The following is a 17,266-nucleotide window of genomic DNA, read 5'->3' as shown; positions in this document are numbered from 1 at the left end:
GGGCCTGTACGTGCATGCAGTCGGGTTGCCTCCCTTTCCCCTGGAAATGTGCCCTTTGCTTACTTTTTGTTTGGTTTTAAAGCAGCTGGAAAGGATATTTTTTGCTCAGAATTGGTGCTTAGCTTTTGCAGAAGCTGCTTCTTGAGAGTCGTCTCTTGTCATCCCTCTGGGTTTTAGCTCAGTGTGACGAAGCTATTTAAAATATGTGTGTTTTTAAATGATTCTAAAAATGAAGTATTCACATTGTTATGCCTCACTCCCTCCCCACTATTGAGTCCTGCTCCCCTGACAGCAACTTTCCATTTCTCTAGCTTATCCTTCTGGTATTTATTTATATCTGTGTTTCTAAATACTATGTTTATACTATGATCATTTGGTTTGCCAATTGTAGACATTATCTGTTAGGTTGGTGCAAAAGTAATTTTGGTTTTGCCAAGATGATAGTATTAGGTACCGACCTAATACCATCATCTTTCTATGAGATGGTACCATTTTAGATGAACATCTTGTGTCCACTTAACATCCTCCCACTTTCTGTAGCTTCCTCATATATGTAGATCAAAGTTCTTGGTTAGACTCATGATCAGATTATTTGTTTTTTGTTTGTTTGTGTTTGTTTTGTAGGGACAGGGTCTTGCTGTGTTGCCCAGTCTGGTCTTGGAGTCCTGGCTTCAGGTGATCCTTCTGCCTCTCATACTGGAATATTATATAATATTTTTAAAAATAGCTCACCTTTATTATGTATTTTCTGGGTGCAAGACACTGTCGAAGAGCTTTAGACATGTATTAACTAATCTTTATAGCAACCATGTAAAGCAGATACTGTTATTCTTTCCATTTTGCAGATACGGACATTGAGACCTGGGTTAACTAACTTTCCAAAGTCATGTAGGTAGTAGCTGGTGGAGCCAGACTTCAAACCAAAGTAAACGAGGCTCCAGAGTCTACTTTTAACCACTACACTTTTTAAATGATTAAGATTTTACAAATACTATTTATAGTGGAGCCACATGTATATTATTATCTCTTCTCCTTCTCTTCTCTTCTCTTCTCCTTCTCCTTCTCTTCTCTTCTCTTCTCTTCCTCTTCCTCCTACTCTACTCTTCTCTTCTCTTCTCTTCTCTTCTCTTCTCTTCTCTTCTCTTCTCTTCTCTTCTCTTCCCTTCTCTTCTCTTTTGGAACTCTTATTAGATGGAAGTTGTATGTCCTGAATTTATCCTCTAATTTTCTTACCTTTATCTCTTCATTACCTTTGACCTACATTCTGGGAGATTGCTTTAACTTTATCTTGTAACTCTTACCAAAGAGTTTTTTTTCCCCTGTGACACTTTAAAAGCCCAGTAGCTGTTTCTTATTTTTGTTCTGTTCTTTTATTTTTCAGTTCTTTCTTCCTAATTGAGTACTTTGGCCCTGTCTTTCATACTGGTGGCTTTCCTGCAATGGCAGGAGATCTGCAGCCATCAGGTCACATACATGAACAAGGCTCTGAAGAGCTGACAGGATAACTTCCGTGGGTGGCCCAGGCTCATCTGGTAGTGGCCCCCCCATCAGGTCACAGACATGAATAAGGCTCTGAAGAGCTGACAGGACACCTTCTGTGGGTGGCCCCGGCTCGTCTGGTAGTGGCCCCCCACTGCAGAGTGGCCTAGGATCACAGATCTGTTCACTTGGAGGATCCTCAGATGTCAGCATCTGGAAGCTTTTCCCTTGGGCTGGCCAGAATCTCCATAATAGAACCACCCAGACTTGTTCCTGGGGCTGTGCACCTGCTGCAGGTGTTGTGGGAGCCAAGTTTGGAGTGGGAAACAGAAAGATCTCATTGTGGGTGTTGACTTTCACTCAATTCTCTCTTTTCAGACTCACGTTTACCCATGCACCACCCTCACCACCCTGCAAGCCCTCCCTATTTGAGTCCCTAGTTCCTGAGGATCCCTCTTTCAGTTTCTCTAGAAAAAGAAATTCCTCCTGTCCTGCCCTGGGTGTGCTGAGTGGGAAGGAGGGAATAAGGAAGATTCTCTTTGCCCTGGAGGAAGTCCATGACACTTCCAATTCCTCCTCCAATTCCTCAGCTTTTCTGAGGGGCTCCGTGCAAATTGGCTTGCTTTTTCTTGGTTTTGCTCTTTGAGATTTGTAACTTTCTTTGTGCTAATAGGTTAGTAATAACTTGTCAATTCACTTTCCATCTTCCAGAAGACTGTTAACATTTATTTCTACCTCTCCATTTCTCTGTGTCCTTGTGGAACTTTACTTTTTAAAAAAACTTAATTACTTTCATTATGTTGGAGGTTGGGAAGGGAGTAGAGATGAACATCACGTTGACACAACCATATTTGATGGAAGTCCGATTAGATCACCATTGGAAATATTTGTTTCTTAGAGTTTGCTTCATTTTCCTGTTAGGCTGGAGGATCCCATGATATTTGTCTCAGAATAACGGGAGGGTTCACTTTTCATTCTGTTTGAGCTTTCCTGGTGTATACCTTTCTTCCTTTCCTCTTAGGATCGTAAGTCCTGAACAATCTTGTTCTAGCTCTTTTCTCCTCTTATCTTCATCTGTAAATGAAAGGGGCTGAGAGCTGGTTTCAGGCAGGAACTAGATCTGACATTTAGGAAATCTCCTGTTCAGGTAGCTTCTCTTGGCCTTTTCCTTTCAGTGATATTTTCTGAAAACCTGACTTGCCATACTGATTTAAATGCCTGATACCAGTGTAAGGTATAGATGTGACTTCTCCTAGGAACATAGATAAAGCTTTGGGGGTGAAATTGACAATAGAGTGTGTCTCCTTTCTCTCTTTAGCCAGTGGGAAGGTTGGGTGACTTGGGGCTGCAGGATTCCGGGAGGCCTCCGTATCGTATGCTGCCTGTCCTTAGAGTCCATCCAGACCTGAGGGCTACTTAGCTGAATTGTTTAGTAAACGACGTGGGATTCAGCTGCATCATCTCTATGAAGACTCTCATGTTGACTTATCATTACAAAGGGCTGATGGTGGCAGTGGTTCTAAACCTTGACAAGTGAACGGTTTCTGCAGGAAGGCTCTTTGGAAGACTGTGACATCACAGACAAGACAAGGAATATCATTAGTGAGGTCATTTTAAAATTCTCAGATCTTGGACTTGCTCTGGGCAGTGACTTTGCCAGCAAGTTGGAAGAGGGCACAAGAAGTGTGCTCATCAAATTTGTGGCAGACACAAAACTGGAAAGGATGGCCAATGTAATCGATGACAAAAACAAAAATATGTCTCAAAATGATATAGATATGCTGGAATGCTGGGTTAAAAATAACACAATGACATTTCAAAGGGATAAATGTAAAATCTTATTTTGGAATAAAAAAATCAACGATACATAATGGTGGGAGAAAAAAATCTACTGGCAGTAGTTCTGGTAGAGAAAGACACTGAAGTTTTATTTGACTAAAAGCTCAGTATAAGCCACTAAATCTGACTGAGGCAACTAAAAAGCTGCATTAATGGAACGTTAATGTATTGAACTCAGGAAGTAACACCCCTCTTCAATGGTTGGACTGCACCTGGCGCCTCATGTTTGCCCAGAGAAGGGCAATTAGCAGGTGCCTGAGGGTCTGGAAGCATGTCTCAGGAGAAACCATGGAAGGAACTGAGTATATTCAGATGGAAAAGAAAACTGTCTTCTCCTTATTAGCTGTGAAACTTTAGGCAAGTTACCCTGGAAGCCCCTGTAGCCTCTTGGGTAAAATGTGGAAGGAGACCATTTCTCTGTGGTATAGGTAGGGGGCAGAAAGAAGGAAGTACTGGAGGAAGAGATTGGAGAGGTAGGAGGTGGGGATGGGATTGAGAACATATTCATAGCTCAGGGTAAGGCATTCACAGTTTATCCTGAGCTGCAGGAAAATAATATGGGCACTGTATTATCTTTCAAACCAGGACATTCAGAGTGAAAGCCAGGCTTATTCAATAAAACAGGACAAAAGGTACCAACTAGGGCTGTTGCAGGTACCCTAGACAAACCAGGAGGAAAGGCCATACTGCCGAAGAGCACTGTCAGTAGAGGACATCTGCCTTTTGGGGTGGTGAGTGGTCTGCCTTTGGAGGCATCTAAGCAGGGCTTGAATGAACTTCTCTTGTGGACCAGCACAAGAGAAGTCGGGTGGAAATGAACGAAATGAACTTTCAGATCCTTATTGAGTACTGCTACAAGGGATGCTATGTTAGAGAATATATGAAACAAATTAAACAGGAGCCATCCTGGCTCTCTGCAAATTCTTTTAGATGTGTATATTTGGCAAAAAGAGGGCAGAAAAAGGAACTCTGACCCTTTCTCAATGTAAAAGTTCCTTCTGAAGGATGAAATTAACTTAAAGGTTCAGAATCTGTTCACCTGGAACAATAATTCTGGTGTGCTCAGGAAGCTTTTTAAAAACACAGCTTCCCAGGGTGCCACCCTGGACAAAGAGTCAGAGGAGGGGAGGGGCACTTTAAGGAATATGATCTGTCCTAGGGCAACACCGTTCACATCTAGGGTGAGCATCCACCTACTGCATATTTAGTAAATATTCGTGGGCTCTGGGCCTAGATCTGTGATAGTGTCTGATCAAAGTCCATGTGGGAGCCATCACTTGACACTTTTAGGGGCTTAAAATAAATGTTGTGACAATATGCAAACACTGAACAAATGCCAAAGCAGGTAGACGACCTGTCCCTTATTTAGCGGTCTGTTTTTCAGGCCTAGACTACCCTATCCTTACTGGTTAGAAGTATTACAGCATGCTTTGCTAATTATTACAAGAGACTGAAAATTGCTCTATGTGGAGGTTGAGACCTTATTGGAGACTTGGAGCAGACAGGCATGGCCTGAAATTCTCTCTGGATGAGGAAGGTGTAAGGAAACACTGGCCTGAGCTACATGAGTCAAAACTTTTTAGCCCAGATGAATTACATTCTAGATACAGAGAGAAGCTATAGAATTACTGTTTAGAATCTTTGGAGAATCGTGGATAATAAATGGGACAGGAGCTGGAAAGCTGAGATAGGCAAACATTTTCTAAGTTTTCAAAAATGAGGATACTTTGGATTTCACACACTGTAGATGAGAGAATCTGACATAATTTCCATAAAACATTCTTGAACAGGTTATGAAACAAGCAGTTTGGGAGTCGTTGGACAGGAGATGAGTGATCCCTAAATGCAAACACTGGCCCACTGAGAATGTTAAGCCAAAGCAGCATGATTTCTTTTTAGGAAAATTAAAGTTGCAAAGCCTTAAATAGAGCAAATACAGCAGATGTGGCATATCTAGGATCCTGCGAGACATTTGAGGTGTGTGTCAGTTCACACCCGTAGCTTCCTGGACAAGGCTGGTGCATATAAACTGTATAATAGGACAGTCAGATAGTCAGATAGCATCATTCTTGTTTGAATGGCCTCTCCAGTATTTCACAGGCAGGCAGACATTTGACGGTAGTCATTCTGTTGCCTATAAAAATATAAAAGTGTCCAGTCCTTTGCAGTCCTTACCATACCACTTGAGTGAATGAGTACCTAACCAGAGAGAATTCTCATGTGGACTCTGTACCTTGGCCCCTGATTTGAAACTTTTCATCAGCAATTTAGATGAGAATAAAGAGAACATGGAAATCAAAATGCTAAGTGATATGAAATTGGGAGGGAAAATGAATACTTTGGATGAGGCCATAAGGTTTTGAACAGATATGAATAGCTGGACAATGGAGCTAAAGCCTACTGGAATCATTCTTTGTCACTCAGTCCACAATATTAAATTCCCTATTTGTCTGGAACAGGCTAGGTGCTGAGATCAGGAGATGTGCACGCCATAGCAAGGAGAGCAGGAGGCAGACGTATCCTGTAATACTTTGGTGGAGGTCAGCCCCGGATGCTATAGGAGCACACAATGAACCAGATCTCATGAAAGCTTGAGGTGGGTAAGGGCTTGGGGAGAGCTATTGAACCGAGCAAGGAGATCAGATATCTGGAGAAGGTGATACTTGAATGGTTTTGAAAAAAAGGAGTTAGCTGTGATCCATGCTGGGGTGAGGGTGTTCCACATTCAGGCAGCAACTATAATGATGTCATAACCAGGACCTGGGTGTGAGACAACATGGAAAACCAATTTGCAATGCTCATCAATGGCAGAGAACTGGAAGAGAGAGAGGTGTTACATATTTTTCTCACTTTAGCGTTCCCTGCTGCTGGAGTATAGAATGTGAGAAAGACTCTAGGGATACTCTAAAAAGGAGCAGTTGTAACATAAAGGGCATGCTCTTTTATCTTAGAGGCCAGCATTTTCCAAACTTACCTGATCATTAGAATCACTTGGTCCTTGTTACAAATGTTCTCAGGCCACTTTCTTGGCAAATCTGATTTCAGGTGTGTCAGAGTGTTTCCCAGGAATCTATTAAGAAGATCGCTAGTTAAGTTTGGGATATACTGTTATAGACATGGGGAACTATTGGAGATTTAATATCGGGAATGAACTGGTCACATTGGCATTAAAGTGGGCTGTTCTGGCTACCGTATACGGAATGATTTGAGAGGGGTAAATACATTTGACACTCTAGGCCAGAAATAATGAGAAATAATTAAGAAAATCAGTAATAGTAGACAGCTGTTGGCTTGAGAGAGACTGAAGTGGAACCAAGTGGGTTTAATTACTACCTGGACTTAGAAAATGAGGGATGAGGACGAGGTGATTGACGGCACCAGTTTTCAGGCTTGGGCTTTTAGGTGGTGCCATTTATTGGGATAGAATCTTGCTTCGGTCAAGTTGAGTTTAGGCTGCCTGTGAGACATTGAGGTGGAGATATACAGTAGGCAGATGTATGGGTCTGGAGTCTAGGAGAGAAGTCTGGAGGAACATAGAGATTTGTGGGCCCACCATCTACTGTGGTAGTTAAAGCCTTGGGTATAACTCAGATTGCTTAGTGAGAATGTTTAGTTGAGAGGAACAGATGGTCCAGAACAGGAATCTGTGGACCATTCTATGAAAGAAAGCTAATGAGGCTTTCAAATGGGAGCCCAAGGGGGAAAATACAGGGAAAGAAGAAGAAAGAGGAGAACATGGTGAAGAGTATCAAGAGGAAGAGATCGCTGAGTGCTGCTGAGGGATTCAGGTAAGAAAATAGTCATTAATGATTTCTGTGTACTTTCTTTGAGTGAGCACTGCTGTGGTTGTTTTACAAATGTTGTCTTATTTAATCACCACAATAACCAGGTGAGGTAGCCCCTGCTATTTACGTCAAGGAAACATGGGGAAACTGAGGCAGCAGAAAGGGTAAATAACTTGACCAAAGGCACAAAGTTGATAAATGCCAGGGCCAAGATTTGAACATAAATGAAAGGATGCCGAAGTCCTGTGTGTTGACCACCACAATCACTTGTTAGGAAACACAGTGGCAAAAAGGCTACAAAGGGCTTGCAGAATTTAACAACAGGGAAGTTCTTCATAACCTTGGCTCTGGCATGGTCCTGAAGCAAACCACCGTGCAGTGGCTTGAAGGCAAAACAAAGAAACAGACAGAAAGGGGAGATGACTTTCCAAAAAGGTGAGTTGCTGGTTATCAAAGGGTAATACGGGCCAACTAGGGATGTCGTTTTAAGATGGGAAATTGTGTTTCGATGCTGAGAGGAAAGAGTAGGTAGAGAGAAATTGGTTTAAGATTCAAGAGAGGAAATTTTGGTTGAATTAAGATCTCTAAGGAGGCATGGGAGAACAGAGTGCAGAACAGCCTAAAGGGAATTGCCTGGACTAGAGATGGAAATGTCGTCCCTCTGGACTGGAAGGAAGGAGGGATATGACATAAGGATGCAAGAGGAGGGGAAGGATTACCTCTTTGAAGCAGGATGTAAGGTCTTATTCTGAGGGGTGGCTTGTTGGGTGAAGTGGTATTAGTGGACCTCAGCAGACCCATCTAATAACTTTAGCCATCAGCTTCTTTTTGCCAACCGAAATGGTTCCTATTGGACTTCCCCCTTCTGGCTCTCCTCTCTCCCTTTCTCCTCCATTTCTGGAGCCTGTGTAGAACCTTCATTTTCAATCACTGCTTGTTGCTGTCATGAGTGGTGCTTTTCCATTCGGGAACAGAAAAGAAACCCTCCCGATAAAATCCAGTAGACTAGAGTGGGGTAGGGGGAAGGAACAGTGATTGCTGTTCTTTCCTTTTATCCCTCAGGGAAAGAAGGGGACGAAGATGGGGCGGGAGGGAAGTAGTGAAGGCCACAGAGGTAGGAAGAACCAGGAGGTGGGCTGGAGCAGAGCCAGCTTGTTTAGCAAGCAAAGCAGATAAAGATTAGAGTAACCATGACAACAGGCTACTGGCAAAGGCGCTCAGCATTTGGGGAGGAGAGAGGGAGGTGGAATGGCTTGGCTGGGTATAAGCCCAGAGTTTTGGAAAATGCCGTTTCTTCCCGCAGGGCTCTTGGTTGTTAGAGAAATCACCATAGTCACCAACAGTGAGTGCAAGGGAAAGAAAGGAGAGGGCCCGCAGGAAAGATTAGTAGGTGAGGTGGGCTCTGCTGATTCAAAGAAAGAGGGAGTGACTCCTCTGTGACTGGAGGCACAGAAGAGGATTAGGAGGATTCCCTGTCGATTGCCTCAATTGCCTCAGTCTATCTGTGTGTCTCAGGGTACATATATTTTTCTGTTTAGCTCTATTTTCTCACTCACGCTATGGTAGCAAAGGCGCCACAACTAGTATGCCTTTTTGTTTCTAGTTTTTCAGGATACCACATTTTTTACTTCTGGAGAATGAGGCATGAGAATATCAAGACTCTGTTTTTTTTTCTGAGGATGCTCAAAATGTGTGTGAGGGAGGGAGGGACGAAAAGGAGGAGAGAGAAACAGAGAAAGAAAGGGAGAATGAGTTCATCTTGGTGTAAACTCTTCACCCAGCCTAGGCCTGTAATTAGTTAAGAATTTCTTGGAAATCTTTTTCCCTTGTTCTATTGCCACCCACTTCTATAGCTGCTTGAGAATCTCTATCAATAAGAATGTAGAAGGGCTGGGCATGGTGGCTTACGCCTGTAATCCTAGCACTTTGGGAGGCTGAGGCGGGCAGATCACCTGAGGTCAGGAGTTCGAGACGAGCCTGGCCAACATGGTGAAACCCCGTCTCTACTAAAAATACAAAAATTAGCCAGGCGTGGTGGCAGGCGCCTGTAATCCCAGCTACTCGGGAGGCTGAGGCAAGAGAATCGTTTGAACCTGGGAGGCGGAGGTTGCAGTGAGCTGAGATCGCGCCATCGCACTCCAGCCTGGGGGACAAGAGTGAGACTTCATCTCAAAAAAATAAAGAAAAAAAAAAAAGAATGTAGAGCAGCCATAGAAAATAATGAAATTATGTCATTTGCAGCAAAATGGATGGAGCTGGAGGCCATTGTCTCAGTGAACTAAGATAACTAAGTGAACTAAGAAATAGAAAATCAAATATTGTGTGTTGTCACTTATAAGTAGGCGCTAAACAGTGGATACACATGGACATAAACATGAAAGTAATAGACACTGAGAGCTCCAAAAGCTGAGGGAGTAGGAGAGGGAGGGGGTTGAAAAATTACCTGTTGGGTACAATGTTCACTGTTTGGGTAATGAGTATACTTGAAGCCCAATCCCCACCAGTATGCCATGTACCCATGTAACAAGCATGCGCATGTATCCCCTGCATCTAAAATAAAATTTAAAAAATTTAAGAAGAATATACATACTTTTAACATCTGTGAATATAGTTGTTCCTTTGTGAGTAAGCCCAAAGCGCCTATATGGGAAAAGTAAAAAAATGGTATGATTACAAACAAATGGTGCTTTAGGTTTGAGTATCTATCTCCTGATAACACCCAGTGTGATCTTGCCCAAAAAAGCACCAGCACTGTTGGGGAAGGACATATCACACTCTTCCTTAGTCTGATACGTCAGACTGAGATATATATATATATAATTTTATTTATTTATTATTATTTTTGAGACGGAGTCTTGCTCTGTCACTTAGACTTGAGTGCAGTGGTGCAACCTTGGCTCACTGCAACCTCTGCTTCCCAGGTTCAAGTGGTTCTCCTACCTCAGCCTCCCGAGTAGCTGGGATTACAGGCACTCACCATCATGCCCGGCTAATTTTTATATTTTTAGTAGAGATGGGGTTTCATCGTGTTGGCCAGGCTAGTCTCAAACTCCTGACCTCAAGTGATCCATCCACCTTGGCTTCCCAAAATGCTGGGATTACAGGTGTAAGCCACCGCACATGGCCTCTGAGATATGTTTTTAATATAAAGTGTATCACAAGCATGGCTTTGAGAGGAGAGTCCACTCCCTTCCTTTTCTACCAGACTACTACTTCGTTGCCTACAGAAATGGATGCTGGAGCTACCACTTGGGCCAGGACCTGAGTCCCAGAATGAGCCCATAGCTCACCCAGGGGCTCATAGAACCCCACTGGTTCCATAAGTGTGGGTGTTTCAGATATCATTGCTGAGACTTCTCCGTTTTGATTGAGGAGGAGGTAGTAAAGTGGATTCATTTCCATTTCCAAATCTCTTTCCTTCCAAATAAGCATGTATAGCCCAAGATATTGGAAAAAGAAGGTTCTTTTGCACAAAGGAAACTTAAACCAGGAGATACAGGACTTGAGCTTTGTTCTAAACTGTCATAAATAGCTGTGAAAAGAGAAAACATTAAGAAGACTGATTTCCCCAGGGTGCAGAGGGGAACAAGCTCTCTCAAAGTTGGAAAGAGTGTTACGATTCTCCAATTTCGCTATATGTCTTAAACTACTTTTTAGAGAAATATCTACTTCTGCCAGGTGGATATAGTTATCTTGTTCTTCTCAGCTACGTTCTAATTCATGAACACATAGATTTGGCCAGCAGTGATGTCAAGTGCCCAGTGCCTTGGGGAACCGGCTTGGCATTGAGATTTTATTGGTTAAGAGAGAGATTTCCTGAACCAATATTGAGCTGTTTGCCAGGTTCTGGCTTGAGTAATTTTTTTTTCTAATAGGAAGTAGAGGTGGAGGGACAGGTGTTGAGGGTCAGATAATGGGTACGGTTTTAGACATTTTGAATATGAGCCATTCCCTTCCAGCGGGTCAGGAGAATGGTCTCTGACAGGGAGAGAATGTTGGGACTCCTTACCGTATGGGACTAGCTGGGGCATGAAAGTGGATGACTTCTAGGGAAATCACATGGAGAGGAAGAGGGGCTGAACACAGAATCCCAGCTGACACCAACGGTTAAGAAATGGGAAGATGAGAAGCCTGGGAAGGAGAGGGTGTAGGAAAACTGGGAATGAATCATACACAAAAGTTAGATTAAGAAAGAGTGGTAAAGAGAAGGAAGTGGTTACCAGTGTCTGTGGCTGAAGAGCAGGACTGAGAAATACTAAGGGGTTCTGTCTCCATGGGGATGGTATTGCTGACTCTGGGGAGAGATTTTTCCTGAAGTGGGGTGGGGGAAGCCCGATGACCCAGGTTTAAGAAGTGGATGCAGCGTTAAGTGGAGCAGAACATAGTGTTGGTACCCAGGGCACCAGTGGTGCTTTGAAAAGTCAGGGGCGGCTTTCATGCCTTTATTTTGGAGAGGATTAAAAAAAAAATCCTGGAGAATGTTTACTGAGAAATTCCAGAGAAGAAACAAATACAAAAAGGAAATATTAAAAAATATAACCAAACAGTTATATACCCCAAACACATCCAAAATATATGGAACCCACATGGTTGAGAGAAGAAGGCAGATAAATATATCTGGATGAGAAATTGAAAATTAAATTGTGGGTAGGTATTAGTGGTCCTTGTGTGGTTAGGAGAGGGCTTTGGAATGGAAGGGCAAGGGAAATGTGTTGGGCAGTTAGTCTTAGGAACCCAGTACTAATCAACTCTTAAATCTACACAATGTAGTCTCTGAGGCAAGTTCATTTTAAAATTGGAACTAATTTTTTTTTTAAACCCACAAGTCAAAATACTTAGTCTTTTAGATCGTAGATATGGATGAAGTTAAATAGCTCTTTAAGAACAGCACTGCATGGAAAATAACTAGGTTTACTAGCTAAGTTTAGCATATAAAGCTCTTTACTGAATGGCTTCTTTGTCAACCCCAGGCTGGAGGAGTTCAATTCCTTTTTATTTGGTGAATTCCTTAATTGGATTTTGTTTGCCGATCTTACTTTCTCACATTGTAAGATTTTAATAAATCATTATAATCATTCCCTCATGTCTTACAAAAATAACCTTTCTGACGGTTCCCGAATGACTTTTTTTCTTCTGTGTTTGCATCATGGGATTATTAGTGTAGCTTACAAATGAATCAGAAAAGGGCTGTGCAGCTGAGGGTATATTTCCATTATTTTCTAGGTGTGAACTTGGAGCCTGATAACAAGGAACCTGTGAGGTCACGCTTGGCTGGGAGGGCACAGCAGGTCTTGGCATATTATCTCCTGTCTGGATTATTGATGAGATCCACTGCTTGGAAACAGGAGAGAGATCTCCTATCTGCTTGGTTATTAAAGCCTCTGCAGGAAACAGGTTTATTGGTGATGTATGTACACTGGGGCTTCTGTTGCATTCTCAGCTCAGATTCTTCTGTGTCTGTTACTGTTGATGACTGCATAAGGAAGAACTTATTTTGTTCAACTGACGTGTTTGTTGAATGTCTGGCTCAAAATATACCTCTCCTAAGAACTTCCATGACTGACCTTTTGCAAGGCTGAAGGACATGCTTGGTTACCCATTAGGAACTGGACCAGGAACCCAAGTCTTTTTCTTTCAATTTTCAGAGTTTTGCAGTTTGCTCTTTGGCTTGTGGATGCCAACACTTAGAGTTTATATAGTCAGTTTCTGCGATCCTGAGATGTATTTTTTTTTGCAATTGCAGTTGGTTGTTTCTCCTCCTACAGTTTGTTTAGCCTCTTCCTCATCCATTATCCTCCAGGCTGTATCTGAAGTGGGCATAGGAGGAGTGCCCTTCCCATGACCTGCACAATGTTCACAGCCCCTTTCCTGTTGGTGGGGCTTTTGGAGAAGTTGGGGTTCCCTTGGGGGATTGGCAGTTACAAGATTTTTCAGATGAGGACTGTGGTTTATTTGGCAATTCAATGCCCTAAGAGACTTAAGAGCATTCAGGTCGATTTGTTTCCACTTTGTTCCACGTGTGAGTGACCAAGGCAAAGATCTCAATCTAGACCTAGAAGCAATTTTTAAGCCTGAAAAGCTCACTTGTCTCGATTCTCTGTTTCTCCCTCCTCCCTCTGCCCTTAAACTAAAGTCAACCATCTTGAGGCCATGTGAAAAAATAGGCTTGGATGGAAAGGTGCACCCTTAATCTAATCTTTGCCATGGATTGGCCCCCTCGTTTGGTGGGGAACTCTTCATGGGACATGTTGAAAAAGACCTCACATCTTTATCATTTTTTAATTCATGTTTCTTACCATATTGAATTGGTTTTTGCCACTTGTAACAAAAGGATTCCTGATGAATGCCTCCTGTGTTTGGAGTCTTATTTTATTCTTCCTCTCTGTAGCTGCAGGGTCTAATATATACCTAATTTATAATCTGTGTAGGTGCCAATTACATATGTAATTGTGTGAGCATATGTATATAAAAACTTAGAAGCAGATATGCCCCTGAGAGCAAAATAAAGAATAAAGTTCCTAAAACATACAGAGAAAAAGATAATGTAGGAGAAAGAAAGCAGACGTTTTAAAGTATGCGTTGTTTGAGCTTTTATGCGTCTGTCAAACAACCCTGAAAGTTCCATCACGTGTGATATTTTAAATTTTGCTCCCAAATGGAGAAAGGCATCTTCCCACCCCTCTGCTGTGAGTCAAACCACTCAAGCAGGGCTGTGGCTGTCAGTGTGAAGCCAGCTCTTCCAAGGACCCAGGGGAAGCTGCCATCGCTGCCGTTTCTGCCTCTGCCTTTCTTTGCTCAAAAGTTGGCAAATGCTGGTCATGTCGTGGATCTATTTATAGTAGGCACACGTCTACCCACCTTGTTCTTTTCTTAGCATCAACTTGACATGCTATCAATTATCCATGAGGTGAATGACAACACAAGGGAAGTTATTTGAGGCAGGTGCCCTGAGGTGAGAGATGAGGGGGTGGCAGAGGTCGCACAGTGACAGCTCCGAATGAAAAGGGTAAAACAAACGTCCCTTGCTGCATCTGGCTGGTGAATGATTGCAGACAGGTTGGTGGGAAACCCTGAGCTGGTCACGCAGCAGTCTCCCACTGCCCTTCTTCCCTGTGCCTGCTGATGTTTGAAAAGCCCATTTGAAACAGACAAGGGGCAGGACCTGAAGATGTGATCTCCCTCCAGTGGAGGTCATTTTTGTTATTCTCTTAAGCCACAGGAGGGGAGGACACAAGGACCTCCTGGGGACAGGGGGTGGATGTGGCAGAGGCTGATACTCTTCCTCCACGTAGGAGCATTTCTGGTGGGAGTGAAGCAGCCACCGGGGGATGAAAACAGGGTGCCCCATTCCTCACTGCCTTTGAACCAGCAGGGAGGCTATTCCTGGCAGCAGCAGTGCACCTGCCCCTGGCCCACAGTGCCTCCCACCTTCTTTACATAACCCCCCATGACCCCTCTTGGATTCTAGACTACCCTGTTTTTGCTCCTCCTCACTGACAACATAGTTCCCAGTTAGGGGAACTACTACTTCTTCTTCTCCTCCCCCTCCACGCTCCTCCTCCTCCTCCTCTTTTTTAATGTTGTAATAGAAACATTGATTGCCCATTTCAGTGGGACTGGCTACCCTGGTGTCCTTTTTTTATTTATATGCCATTAATTTGGGGCTGCTCTGTAGGAGCTGGTGGCATTTACTCTCAAAGCTGCTCTAACGATGATGCTGATGTTATTGTTTTAGCTCCAGGAATTGAATTGCTCATGGCAATAGAGGCGACTTCTGCTTTGTCTGTAGCCTCATAGATCACCCCTCCTGTCTATGTCCTCTGTCCACCTTGGATTTTGAATGTGAAGAGAGAGAGAAAGATTGAATTATGGTCAAAGAGAGTGGAAAGCAAATTAATTAAACCTCTATCAGCCTTGCCTTCAGATATAAACTGACTCAGACTTTACAACCCGTTCCTCTCTAAGTTTGCTCAACTCCCCTCCTCCTGCTCCCACTCTGTTCCGTTCCTTTGGGCAATGAGGTACTAAACTACCTCTGTGATAAATGTGTGTGTTGATTCCTTAGGGATAGAGCGGCTGTGCCCTGAAAGGCCTTGGAACCCTCGCAAAATTCCTAAATACATGTGGTGGGCACTCCAGCAGTTGCTGGCAGACTCTCCCAGGGATCCCGGCTGAGTTTAATACTGTCTGCCAGGCTAATCCACTTTCCGGGGCAGTGTCTAGCACCAGAGACTCTCTGTCTGGAAGTATCCTGGCCATTTAAATGACTCCAGGTTCCTGGGGATCAGTTTGCAGCCTTTGTTATCTTTTGGCAGAGCCACCTTGCTTTTCCTTTCTCATCTTCTCTGTAGTCAGACCACTCAAGTGTAACTTTGTTTATTATTTAGGGACCTCATGGGGAGAAGTTGAGATGATTATCCTGAGTACAGAATAGCCAACTTCCAAGTGGGTATTGTGGGTGTGCGTGTGTGTGTGTGTGTGTGTATGTACATTCGTATGTACTAGCATGCACTAGTAACACGTGTATGTTTGTGAGTGATACTGGCTGTCTAGGAAGGATGAGTAGGGTTTGGATGAATCTCTTTTGCAGGAACCAAAACAGGTGCAAAATACCCGTGTCAGAGTCCTCAGATGGCTGGTGAGTGGAGGTGTAGCAGGACAAGCCGCAGACAAAACCCCTCAGACACTGAGTTAAAGAAGGAAGGGCTTTATTCGGCCGGGAGCTTCGGCAAGACTCACATCTCCAAAAACCAAGCTCCCCAAGTGAGCGATTCCTGTTCCTTTTAAGGGCTTACAACTCTAAGGGGGTCCATGTGAGAGGGTCGTGATCGATTGAGCAAGCAGGGGTTATGTGACTGGGGGCTGCAAGCACTGGTAATCAGAATGGAACAGAACAGGACAGGGATTTTCACAATGCTTTTCCATACAATGTCTGGAATCTACAGATAACATAACCCGTTAGGTCAGGGGTCAATCTGTAACCAGGCCCAAGGTGCGGCGCTGGGCTATCTGCCTGTGGATTTCATTTCTGCCTTTTAGTTTTTACTTCTTCTTTCTTTGGAGGCAGAAATTGGGCATAAGACAATATGAGGGGTGGTCTCCTCCCTTAGCGGAATTCCGTACATTTTGTTCTAAGTTATAACCAAAAAACTGAAGTTTATAAATATGAGGCCTTCCTTTTCCCTCTTTGTAGACTAAAGTTTGTGAACCAGGACCCCCTATCGATACCTTTTTAGGGATTGTGAGATCTGACTTTTTTTTTTTGTATTGTTGATTTTGCTATTTCTCAGGGATGGGAGTTCACCACCCACACTTTTGTGCTGTTACTATTTGACCACCTCTTCCTCTTTGCTCCCCCCACAACTTTTATTATCCAGGGAGAAATCTTTTGGAATAGGATAGAAGAGGTTTCTGGGGATAAGTTTTGGAAATAGGCAAATTTTTAGTCTGAAGGACATTGTAGTAGGATTTATGATTCTGAAATGTAGTGATTGTATGTAGTTATGTATTTGGGTACACAGCCTTATGTACATTGCGTTAAATACATTTAAATAATTGGATAATGCCTAGACATAATTAATAAAGTGATGCTGCTTTGTTTCTTTTGTTATTATCATGTTATTATTATTTTATATCATCTTATGCTTGCTTTTTGGTTCTGAGGTTGATTGCAAGGGTTAGAAAATGACAGCGTACAGGTCAATTTTTGTAAATAAAGTTTTATTGGAATGCAGGCTGGCTCACTTGTTTATATATTGTCTATAGTTGCTTTTGTGTTACAATAGCACAGGAAAGTAGTTGTGACACAGATTACCTGGCCAACAAAGCTTAAAATATTTAGTATTTGGCCTTTCGATACAGGTTTCCACCCTCAGGTTTAATTTAGTCTTTTCCTTTACATACTTTCAAAAGTGCTAGAACAATGCTTTAGAAAGTGCTAGTGTCTTTAATGGAAGAATGAGTCATTATCTATACTCAAGCATATTCTAAACCAATCAGAAGAGCTTGAGAGACACGTCTGAAACGTGTGTAGGAACACATATGATAAAAATATATGAAAAGATACTCAGCAGATGTTTGTCAGATGCCACCAAGTACAAGGTAGCTTTTCAGGTGCTATGAGAGGTACTCGGTGAATGGAATACCATCTTATTCTCAGAGAG

The 17,266-nt window shown here is 42.9% G+C and overlaps 1 protein-coding gene across 9 annotated transcripts in view, besides 1 other annotated feature; it reads left to right on the top strand.

The window, feature by feature from the left end:
- DGKI (diacylglycerol kinase iota) overlaps positions 1–17,266 on the top strand; it is a 465,938-nt gene that overhangs the window by 78,342 nt on the left and 370,330 nt on the right. The gene's annotated exons all lie outside the window — the stretch shown is intronic.
- Positions 13,884–14,384: an enhancer, noted in NCBI's record as "H3K27ac hESC enhancer chr7:137438995-137439495 (GRCh37/hg19 assembly coordinates)". NCBI's record gives its function as "activates a minimal SCP1, AML or CMV promoter by ChIP-STARR-seq in naive H9 embryonic stem cells {active_cell/tissue: H9 hESC(naive)}" and the evidence as "EXISTENCE:reporter gene assay evidence [ECO:0000049][PMID:30033119]".

Source organism: Homo sapiens, chromosome 7 (genome assembly GCF_000001405.40).
Source record: "Homo sapiens chromosome 7, GRCh38.p14 Primary Assembly".
NCBI classification, from domain to species: domain Eukaryota; kingdom Metazoa; phylum Chordata; class Mammalia; order Primates; family Hominidae; genus Homo; species Homo sapiens.
This window is presented reverse-complemented; position numbering and strand designations above follow the sequence as displayed.